At 44.2% G+C, this 12,210-nt stretch overlaps 1 protein-coding gene across 73 annotated transcripts in view; it reads right to left on the bottom strand.

The window, feature by feature from the left end:
• Nucleotides 1-12,210, bottom strand: part of CEP164 (centrosomal protein 164) — a 91,489-nt gene that overhangs the window by 59,858 nt on the left and 19,421 nt on the right. For all 73 annotated transcript variants that reach the window (NM_001271933.2, NM_001440972.1, XM_006718788.2 and 70 more), the window contains 2 exons: nt 9,132-9,243; nt 1,421-1,619 (listed from right to left, as the gene is read on the bottom strand). In NM_001271933.2, the coding sequence (NP_001258862.1) occupies nt 1,421-1,619; nt 9,132-9,243 (311 nt within the window). The remainder of the gene's footprint in view (nt 1-1,420; nt 1,620-9,131; nt 9,244-12,210) is intronic.

Below are 12,210 nucleotides of genomic sequence, written 5' to 3'. Positions count from 1 at the left end.
CCATTCAAACACATGACATTGGAAAATCCAGCCTAGCTGGAAATTATCTGCCCTCTTTTCTCCATCTGGAGGAATGGGCTTGTTACCATGTTTCTCAGAACCGTGAGTAACATGTCAGGGAGGGGAGGGAAAAAAGAAGTGTCTGTGGAGCTTGGACAAGAGGAAGCACAAGGCTCTGGAGGGAAACAAAAACTATAAACAAAAGAGCAAAACAACTGGACAACTGAAGAGGGTTGAAACGATGTTCCCAGTGCTCCCCACTGGCTGAGCTGAGTTCCTATGTCCCTCCCTCTCTTCAGCATGCCCCACCTGCCCCAGGCCTGGGGAAAGGGACCACCACAGCGTTCTGGGAGAGCCTGGGCCTCACTTTGGTATGGCTCCAGGTCTTAGTTGCTCCACCTAAATCATGTGGGCAATAACTCCACCTCCTAGACTCAGTTGTACTAAAGGGACAAATAAAACAATAATTAATATGAACACTTTGAACTGAAATACAAAAGCTACTTATAACCAAGGAAATCAGGCTGGGCGTGGTAGCTCATACCAGTAATCCCAGCACTTTGGGAGGCTGAGGCGGGTGGATCACTTGAGGTCAGGAGTTTGAGACCAGCCTGGCCAACATGGTGAAACCCCAACTCTACTAAAAATACAAAAATTAGCCAGGCGTGGTGGCGGATGCCTGTAATCCCAACTACTCAGGAGGCTGAGGCAGGAGAATTGCTTGAGCCTGAAAGGCAGTGGTTGCAGTGAGCTGAGATCACGCCACTGTACTCCAGCCTGGGTGACAGAGTGAGACTCTGTCTCAAAAAAAACAACAACAAGGAAATCACATTGCAGTTAAACTTCAGTTACCCACCACTCACTGAAGACACTGGCAACAATCTAGATGAGTAGATAAAGCCCAAGGCTTTTCTTTCAAATCTTGAACGCACTGGTGTTTTGACAACTAAATTATGGCTACATCTGACATCTAGGAATTCACACCACTTTAAGACAAAAAAGGAACCCACACTAGGGAGGCCTGACTCTGAATAAAGAGAAAGGACACTTCACTCAGCTCACTGGCCTCTGCCAACTGCTTTCAGTCCCCACTCTCCAGAGCAGCAGATGCCATTACTGCTACTACTACTGCAAAAAACCATTCTCAGAAGAGCACTCTCTCTCATCAATCCTATTAGGTAACATGCACTTCCCAAGTGGGGAGAAAGGAAATGTGTAGACATGGCAACAACTTCCAGAATACCAGAAGCTGAAAGAAAAATCAACCAGAAGACAGGCAAAGTTTAGATGATATACTATCAAGAATTTACCATATTCTGACTGTTGTCTTCAACCTCCCAGCTGCAGACACCTAGAGGTTCCCAACATCCCTCCAGATTTCAGCCCTGGCCTCTCTGGGAGGAGGCATCCACTGACTCACCAGCGAACTTTTGGGGGGGTCTCTGTCCTTCTTGTCTTTCTTTTCCTTTTTTTTTTTCTTCTTCTTAATGGCCCCAGAAGTTGACAGCTTTGCCCGCTCTTGGATCACCAAGCTCCGATAGTGTTCGTCACATGGATGGTCCCACATAGACTGCCCGTTGGCGAAGTTGAAATAGTAAATGTCACCTGTGATGTCCTGGCTGGGGATGGGCAGAGTTCAGAAGTTAGTCCCTGCTCAGATACAAAAGAAGAAAAAAAAAAGAGGGGAAAAAAAGAAAAAGGGAGAGGAGGTGAAAGAGGAGGAAGAGAGTGGGGTGGAAAAGGGAGGGAGAAGATGGAATGAGAGGGGTTAAGAGTGGAGGGAAGGAAAGGATTAACACAAAATCAAAGGGTACCATTTGGCTAAGAAGGAGTTAGCTTAGATATAGGAAGAAAGGATTGGGATACCTAATCTCTAGATGTTGATGTATAATCACTGGAGTTCTTGAGAATGCAGGCTGGACTAGTGTAGGAACAAACTTGGTTTTATTTAGATGGAGAAGTATAAAAACTATGGTATGTTGAACGTAAGTGCTAGGATAAATCTTAATATTTTAATAAACAGTCTAAGGAAGAATAATGCATTGTGAGAGCTCTGGTTTTACAGAAGACTCTAAACTCATAAGAAGTAATAATCCTGCCGGGAGCAGTGGCTCACACCTGTAATCCCAGCACTTTGGGAGGCCGAGGTCGGGAGTTCAAGGCCAGCCTGACCAACATGGAGAAACCCTGTCTCTACTAAAAATACAAAATTAGCCGGGGTGGTGGTGCATGCCTGTAATCCCAGCTACTCAGGAGGCTGAGGCAGGAGAATCGCTTGAACCTGGGAGTCGGAGGTTGCAGTGAGCCAAGATTGTGCCATTGCACTCCAGCCTGGGCAATAAGAGCGAAACTCCATCTCAAAAAAACAAACAAAAAAAAGAAGTAATAATCCAAGCTAGTGTGGATGATGGTAGAAGAAAATAATGCAGGAGGTATATTTCAAGAATCTGTTTTTCAACATGGACAAGTCCAAAATAAACCACTCATCTCATCCACCATTAACAACAATCTATTAGGACAGCTAACAGGAAAAGAGTAATGCAAAATATTTTATATTCACACATAAACCTAAAATGTGCAAAATCTTTATAGAGTTTTACTGAAAAGTCAGAAAAAAAAAGAAAAAGAAAAAAACCCACTGGAGAGGCATTCAGTATTCCAGAATAGAAAGACTCAAGTCTGTAAAGATGCCAATAATCCCAAAATTAATATATAAATCCAATACAATTTCAATCAAGCTCCTTATGAAATCTGACAAGCTGAATCTCAATTCAAACAAAAGAGAAAATGAAAAATAGATAAATGAGAAAATGAGCAGAAATAAAAAAATATCGGGGTAAAAAAGGACAGTGATAGAAGATATGCAAATGACCCATAAGCACATGAAAAGATGTCCCACATCACTAAACACTGGGAAAATGCAAATCAAAACTATTATGAAATGCTACTTCACAACATAAGCATGGCTATTATCAAAAATCCAAAAAATAAGCCTGGGCAACACAGTGAGACTCTGTTTCTACAAGAAATAAAAAAAATTAGCCAGGCACAGTGACACACGTCTGTAGTCCCAGTTACTCAGGAGACTTGAGGTGGGAGGATTGTTTGAGCCCAGGAGTTCAAGGCTACAGTGGGCTATGATCACACCACTGCACTCCAGCCTGGGTGACAGGGCAAGACCCTGTTTCAAAAAAAAAAAAGGCTGGGTGCGGTGGCTCACACCTATAATCCCAGCACTTTGGGAGGCCAAGGCAGGTGGATCACCTGACGTCAGGAGTTCAAGACCAGCCTGATCAACATGGTGAAATCCCATCTCTACTAAAAAATACAAAAATTGGCCGGGCATGGTGGCTCATGCCTGTAATCCCAGCACTTTGCGAGGCCAAGGCAGGCAGATCACGAGGTCAGGAGTTTGAGACCAGCCTGACCAACATGGTGAAACTCCGTCTCTACTAAAAATACAAAAATTAGCCAGGCATGGTGGCGTGTGCCTGTAATCCCAGCTACTCAGGAGGCTAAGGCAGGAGAATCACTTGAACCCAGGAGGTGAAGGTTGCAGTGAGCCGAGATTGTGTCATTGACCTTGAGCCTGGTAGACAGAAGAACCCTTGTACACTGCTGGTAGGAATGTAAAATGGTGCTGCCACTTTGGTAAATAGCATGGGGGTTCCTCAAAAAAATTAAATCAAATTTAATATAAGATAAAATTTAACTTAAATATAAAATAGATTTCACAATGGATTAAGTAATTTTAAAATAGCTGGGCACCATGGTGCACACCTGTAGTCCCAGCCACTTAGGAAGCTGAGGCAGGAGGATCCCTTGAGCCCAGCTGTTCGAGGCTGCAGTGAGCTATGGTTACACCACTGCACAGCCTGGGTAACAGAGCAATACCCTATCTCTAAGAAAAAAATTAATTTAATTTAATTTAAAATAGAATTACCATGTGACCCAGCAATTCCATTTCTGGGCATATACCCAAATGAATTGAAAGCAGGGATTCAAACAGCTATTTGTATACCAATAATCACAGCAGCATTATTCACAATAGCCAAAAGACAGAAAGAAGACCAAATGTCCATTGATAGATAAATTGATAAACAGGGCTGGGCACAGTGGTTCACACCTGTAATCCCAATACTTTGGGAGGCAGAGGTCGGGAGTTCGAGACCAGCCTGGCCAACATGGTGAAACCTCGTCTCTACTAAAAATACAAAAATTACCCGGGCATGGTGGCACGTGCCTGTAATCCCAGCTACTCGGGAGGTACAGGCAGGAAAATCACTTGAACCCAGGAAGCAGAGGTTGCAGTGAGCCAAGATCGCACCACTGCACTCCAGCCTGGGTGACAGAGCGAGACTCTGTCTCAAAAAAAAAAAATTGATAAATAGAATGTTGTATATACATGCAATGGAATATTATTCAGCCTTAAGAAAGAATTCTCACGCATGCTACAACATAGATGCACCTTGAGGATGTTATGCTAAGTGAAAGAAGTCAGACACAAAAGGACAAATATTGCATAATTCCACTTATATGAAGTACCTAGAATAGGCAAATTCATTGAGCCAGAAAGCTGAATGGTGACTGCCAGAGATTAAGGAGAGGGGAAAATGGGGAATTAATATTTAATGGCTATAGAGTTTCAGTTTGGGGATGAAAACATTCTGGAGATGGATGGTAGTGATAGCCATGCAACATTGTGAATGTACTTAATGCTGCTGAAATGTCCACTCAAAAATGCTTAAAATGGTAAATTTCATGTTATATATATTTTACCACAATTAAGAAAAATACAAATTTATTGACTTCAGTATGACAAAAGAAAGTATAAACCAAATTAAAAGACATGTGACTGGGATAAAATAGTGGAAATAGTGGTAAGATACCACTACTATTACCCAGAATACCCAGAATAATCAAAGAGTTCTGCCACCTTAACAAAAATAAAAGATAAGCAGTCTACTAGACAAAAAGGCAAGAGATATAAACAGGTAAATCACAAAAGATCAACAGATGGCCAATTCAACTCTACAAACAACTTGGGAAATGCAATTTAAAATGATCCGTTGTTATTTTTTGCCCTTGGATTGACGATTTTTTTTAATTGACAATTTTTTAATTGATAATATTTCTAGGCTGGGCGCTGTGGCTCATGCCTGTAACCCCAACACTCTAGGAGATCAAGGCAGGCAAATTGCTTGAGCTTAGGAGTTCAAGACCACCCTGAGCAACATGGCATAACCCCATCTCTACAAAAAAAATACAAAAATTAGCCAGGCATGGTGACATACACCTGTAGTCCCAGCTACTCGGGAAGCTGAGGTGGGAGGATCGCTTGAACCCGGGAGGTAGAGGGTGCCGTGAGTCATGATCATACCACTGTACTCCAGCCTGGGCGACAGAGCAAGACTCTATCTCAAAAACAACAACAACAACAACAACAACAACAAACCAACTTCAGTACAGAAAATTGAATAAAAAATTGTCCTTATTTGCAGATTACATTTTTCTACAGGGTAAATATGTCCTAGAGACATTTAAAAAAACCTAAATACTGCAAATGAAAACAGACCATGTTCATGGGTTGAAAGTATTGTTTAAGATGTCAATTTTCCCCAAATTGATTTACAGAGTCAATTCAAGCACAATAAAAATCCTAATAGGAAACTGACAAGCTATTCTTTTTTTTTTTTTTGAGATGGAGTTTCGCTCTTGCTGCCCAGGCTGGAGTGCAATGGCACGATCTCGGCTCACTGCAACCTCCACCTCCCGTGTTCAAGCAATTCTCCTGCCTCAGCCTCCCGAGTAGCTGGGATTACAGGCATGTGCCACCACGCCTGGCTAATTTTGCATTTTTAGTAGAGACAGGGTTTCTCCACATTGGTCAGGCTGGTCTCGAACTCCCAACCTCAAGTGATCCGCCCACCTCGACCTCCCAAAGTGCTGGGATTCCAGGCATGAGCCACCGTGCCCAGCCTTGGAAACTGACAAGCTATTCTAAAATTCATATGGAAATACAAAAGACCTAGAATATGACTTTGAAAATGGAGAACAAATTTGGAGGATTTACCTTTAAATGATTTCAAGATTTATTATAAAACTACAGTAATCAAGACAGAATGGTACTGGTGTGAAGACAGACAAAGAGCTCACTGGAAGAGAGCAGAGGATCCAGAAACAGCCCTCACTTCATGGCCAATTAGGAAAATATCTAAATGTCCTTCAATATAAGACTAGTCAAATAAATCAAGATTTTTGAAAATTGTGCTACATCTCTACACGGGAAAGTATGCAGCTGATACAAGAATGAGTAGGCCTACACAAACAGACAAAGAAGAACAGTGTATATAATAAAGTGCTTATGTTTAAAACCAAACCATTGTTGGGGAGGGGGTGCATACATGTATATTAAAAGAGTCTAGAGAGAATTTACCAATTAATAGTAATTACCCTTAGGAAAAGAAGAAGGTTAAAGGTGGGTAAAGAAGAAGAAGGGTAAAATATATATATACCTACATTTTAATGACTCATTTTATTTGTTTTTGAGACAGGTTCTCTCTGTCCCCCAGGCTGAAGAGCAGTGATGCAGTCTCGGCTCACTGCAGCCTCAACCTCCCAGGCTAAAGCGATCCTCCTAACTCAACTTCGGAAGTAGCTGGGACTAAAGGTGCATGTCATCACCCCCAGCTAATTTTTGAATTTTCTACAGAGACAGAGTTTCGCCACATTGCCCAGACTGATCTCAAACTCCTGAGCTCAAGCAATCCTCCAAACTCGGCCTCCCAAAGTGCTGGGATTACAGGTGTGAGCCACCATGCCTGGCCAACTTATTTTAAAAAGTGAAAAATAGGCCGGGCGTGGTGGCTCACGCCTGTAATCCCAGCACTTTGGGAGGACAAGGCGGGCAGATCATGAGATCAGGAGTTCAAGACCAGCCTGATCAACATGGCGAAACCCCGTCCCTACTAAAAATAAAAAAATTAGCCCGGCGTGGTGGCACACACACGTAATCCCAGCTACTCAGGAGGCTGAGGCAGAGGCTGCAGTGAGCCGAGGTTGCAGTGAGCCAAGATTGCGCCATTGCACTCCAGCCTGGGCGACAGAGCAAGACTCCATCTCAAAAAAAAAAAAGTGAAAAATAATTCACACTCTCCTTACAGGATAAAAAAGGGTGTTAGCCACCACTAGCAGGTATATAAAGGCAGCTGGCATAAAAGCTGGTATGCAGCTGGCCCATAACCAATGACAGTTTCCTTCCATCCATCAAGCTAGGTACTGGAAACAGAAGCCACTCCTATAAATTCATCCTACAAACATGACCAGAAGCCCTCAGCACCTCAAACATTGTGTGAAGTCCTGACAAATTTACTTCAATAGAGGTGGGAGAAGGTTAAAGGAAAGGCGGCTAAAAAGATCAAGAGAACAGGCCGGGCTCTCACGCCTGTAATGCCAGAACTTTGGGAGGCCGAGGCAGGTGGACAACCTGAGGTCAGGAGTTTGAGGCCAGCCTGGCCAACATGGCGAAACCCCGTCTCTACTAAAAATACAAAATTAGCCAGGTGTGGTGGTGCATGCCTGTAATCCCAGCTACTTGGGAGGCTGAGGCAGGAGAATCGCTCCACCTCCGGGAGGTGGAGGTTGCAGTGAGCCGAGATCGTGCCATTGCACTCCAGTCTGGGCAACAAGAGCAAAACTCCATCTCAAAAAAAAAAAGATCAAGAAACAAAAAGCCTGCCACATGAGGAAAAGCTAGAAGGACTGTGATTCTTCAGCTGACAGTAAGGCGACAACTGTAATCACTTTGAGCTATGGCCAACACAGTGAATGGTATGAACAAGAACAGGATGATTACGCCTTGTCTACAAAATTGCACAAAACCAGCAGAAGAGGGGACCCCTAAGATACCTGAGGACCAGTTTGGGATAAGCATAGGGAAATACCAATCTAAGGTAGGAAGTAAATTCATGGCACTCACTTTAGGGAGACAAGCTGGAGAGAGCTCTATGCATGTGATTAGGAAGAGCAATGCAAGACAGGAGGACAGAGTAGACATGGAGAACACGGAGAGCAGTGTCACCACGAGCAGGGAGCACTGCAGTCCTCAGGAGGAGGAGGAAGACAGAGGCAGTGACATGGCTCCTTCTAGCTCCCCAACCTTGGCCACTCTGTCTTTCCTCTCCATAAACCTCTGTTTCCCTGAGACAACCACTGAGTGAATCACTGAGTGAATCACTGCTCCTTCCAACCCAAAGAGCTCTAGCCAAAATTGAAAATATCAATGAATCCATGAATGTGAACCTATTCATGAATAGGTTACATCAATTCAGATATGGCAGAGCCAAGTGTTCCCAAGGGACACAGAAACCCTTTGCTGGTCTGCATGGCCTCACTGCAAACCTCTTTAACATCAACATCCATTTTATTTTATTTTATCTTTTTAAGTAGTAGTTTTATTTATTTACTTTGGTTTTTTTTTTTGAGATGGAGTCTCGCTCTGTCGCCCATGCTGGAGTGCTGTGCCGCAATCTCGGCTCACTGCAACCTCCGCCTCCCAGGTTCAAGTTATTCTCCTGCCTCAGCCTCCTAAGTAGCTAGGACTGCAGGTGTGCACTACCACACCCAGCTAATTTTTTGTATTTTTAGTAGAGACGCGGTTTCACCATCTTGGCCAGGCTGGTCTCGAATTCCTGACCTCAAGCAATCCACCCACCTCGGCCTCCCAAAGCACTGGGATTACAGGCGTGGGCCACCGTACCCGGCAAGACCAGCATCCAACTTAGACATGCTAAGGAGGTAAAGTTGTCACTTACAATATCAGTCTGCAAGGAGTAACAACAACCCCTCAGCACATCCTAAACAGATGCTTGTGCTAGAGAACCAGACCCAGGGCAGTAGCTCCTGTGGCCTTGGATATAAGCATTGAACCCCATCCTAGGGACCAGGGACCATTCAGTCAGCCTACACTGAAGCCTGAAATAGCAGGCAGCATAGCAGAGGGGTGGCACAGTACTGTCCCTGACTGTACAGGATAGGCTTGGAAAAGCTGGCCAGTTCAAACCGATCTCCAGTATTAGCTTCCCTCTGCCTCTGCTAGGCCAAGTCAGTGGCCGCACCCCCTGCTGACTTACCATGGTTTCCACTCTCCAGGCAGTGGGGCCACGATGCCCTCTCGCGCCAGCCACATCAGTTCTGGTTCCTTGATGGGATCAATACCAATCTCCCGGGCAAATTCAAGAATTTCTGCAAGGAGAGGCAGAGGTGGGAAAGTAAGAGAGATGAAAAGAAGAAAAAAACTCACAATCTTTTTTCTACTTTGTCTTTTCTCTCCATCAATGAGAAAATCGTATTCTTTAAATTATAAACAATAAACATATATAATTGTTTCCTTACAATTTACAAATAGTACACTTGAATCCAAGCATGCTATCTCCACACAATGATATAATCCGAAGCCAAGCATTAAAAAAGCAAAAAATAGGCCAGGTGCCATGGCTCATGCCTGTAATCTCAGCACTTTGGGAGGCCAAGGCAGGTAGATCATCAGGTCAGGAGTTCAAAACCAGCCTGGCCAACATGGTGAAACCCCATCTCTACTAAAAACACAAAAATTAGCCCAGCGTGGTGGCGCACATCTGTAATCCCAGCTACTCGGGAGGCTGAGGCAGGAGAACTGCTTGAACCTGGGAGGAAGAGGTTGCAGTGAGCCGAGATCACGCCACTGCACTCCAGCCTGGGCAATGAGAGCAAGACTTCGTCTCAAAAAAAAAAAAAAAAAAGGCAAAAAATAAAATAAAACCAAGACTTCATTCCAGCAGGGGCCTCAGAGGGAAGAACCCCCAAACCATAGGCAGAACCATCCAGGATGAGCACAGCCTTACCAGAAGGTAGTAAGCTCTCCCAAGATTTGCAAAAGCTTGGTGCAAAAGCACTCATCATTCAATCAACAAGCATGTACTGAAAAACTACAAGTGACTAAGCTCCTTGAGGACATTACAAACACACAATTAGAGTACAACCCAGGTGACACGTGCTGTAATGAAGACATGTCCTGTATGCTATGGGAGCAGAGAGAAGGCAGTGATTGATTCTGCCTAGGGGCAGGGAACTATCTGAGCTGAGAAAGTGGATGATACTCAAGCAGGCTGAACTCCCACTCACTGAACCCTCCCTTCCATTAAGGGAGTTGCCTCTTTTTCAATTTTACAATATATTATGGACCCTAATACTTTTGTTGTGGCTGGGTGCAGTGGCACATGCCTGTAATCCCAGCACTTTGGGAAGCCGAGGTGGGAGGATTGCCTGAGTCCAGGAGATCAAGACCAGCCTGGGCAACATGGTGAGAACCCATCTCTACAAAAAATATGAAAATTAGCATGGTGGCATGTGCCTATAGATGCAGCTACCCAGGAAGCTGAGGTGGGAGCTTACATTCTAGTAGAAGAGACAGCCAGCAATGAGCCTGAGAAGGTCAAGGCTATACTCCAGCCTGGGGGACAAAGCAAGACTTCATCTCAAACAAACAAACAAACAAAAATTTTGTTGTACTCTGGAAATCAAGAATTTCAAAAAGCTCTTTTGCCACAGAACTGAAGGACAGTGGAGATATATGTACTGACTTAAGAGCTATCTCAGCCAGGCATGGTGGTTCATGCCTGTAATCCCAGCACTTTGGGAGGCCAAGGTGGGCAGATCACTTGAGCTCAGGACTTTGAGACCAGCTTGGGCAACATGGAGAAACCTCGTCTATATAAAAAATACAAAAAGTAGCCGGGCATGGTGGCATGTGCCTATAGTCCCAGCCACTTAGGAAGCTGAGGCAGGAGAATCGCTTGAGACAGGAGGCAGTGGTTGCAGTGAGCTGAGATCCCACCATTGCACTCCAGCCTGGGCAACAAGAGTGAAATCCTGTCCAAAAAAAAAAGAGCTATCTCACGTACAGGAAAAAAGATAAATGACATAACCGTTGGAACATGTCACCAGAACCCCCAGAAATGATTAAATAAATATTCAAATGACATCAATGCTTAAGCTGGTAATAGCCCAGGCCAGAAGGGCATCACCAATGAGCCATCTCAGTGGAAAATCTGGAGGTTGACATACCCGGGAACTAGGAAAGAAAAAATATTTTTTCAAAGGACTGCCTGGAACTTGATTGGCCAGAGACTAATTTATTCATTTTTCACAAATATTTTTGAGTGCCTCCTATGTACCAGTCACTATGAGCCATGAGTAAGAAAAAAACTAGTCACTGCCATTATGGAGCTTACATTCTAGTAAAAGAGACAGCCAGCAATGAAGTAAACAGATAAATATACAAAAAATTAAAGCTTCTGATAAATGCAAGAAGGAAGTAAATGAGGTAGGAGCTAGAGAACATCAGGGTGGAAGAGCATTCCTCTAGAAATGATGGTCAAGGAATCGAGCTATTGCACTCCAGCCTGGGCAACAAGAGTGAAACTCCATCTCAAAATAATAATAACAATAATAAAAATTATGGCCAAGGAATGCCTCTCAGCAATGTTGACAGTTAACTGAAACCTGCATAAGTGAAAGGAGGCAGCCATGCAGAGCACTGGAGAAAGAGCATTCAGGCAGAAGAAGCACAGGTGCAAAGGACCTGTGACAACCAGTAGCTCTGGGGACTGTCAGAAAGCCAGTATAGCCAGGTATGGTGATGCACACCTGTAATCCCAGCACGTTGGGAGACTGAGGTGGGTGGATTGCTTGAGCCCAGGAGTTCAAGACCAGCCTGGGCAACACGGCAAGACCCCATCTCTACCAACACAATACAAAAATTAGCCAGGCCTGATGGTATGCACTTGTGGTCCCAGCTACTTGGGAGGCTGAGGTGGGAGAATCACTTGAGCCCAAGGGGTCAAGGCTTCAATAAGCCAAGTTCACACCACTGCACTCCAGTCTGAGTGACAGAGTGAAACTCGGTCTCAAAAAAAAAACAAACAAACAACAAAAAAAGGCCAATGTGACTGGTAGAAAGAGCCAGGTCACAGAGCCCTGCAATCCCATCAAGGGTGTTATGTTGAGTATACTGGGGATGCGGGGGGACTAAAAGCACAGCCCTGACATGATCTGCTTTATAAACAGTAAGGCTAATTAGGAAGCTACTGAGATAGCCCAGGAAGAGAAAATGGTGGCTTGAGGTTAGAATGCCTACACCTGGACTGGGCCGAAGAAAGTTTTTATAAACAT

Source organism: Homo sapiens, chromosome 11, assembly GCF_000001405.40.
Source record: "Homo sapiens chromosome 11, GRCh38.p14 Primary Assembly".
Lineage (NCBI taxonomy): Eukaryota > Metazoa > Chordata > Mammalia > Primates > Hominidae > Homo > Homo sapiens.
This window is presented reverse-complemented; position numbering and strand designations above follow the sequence as displayed.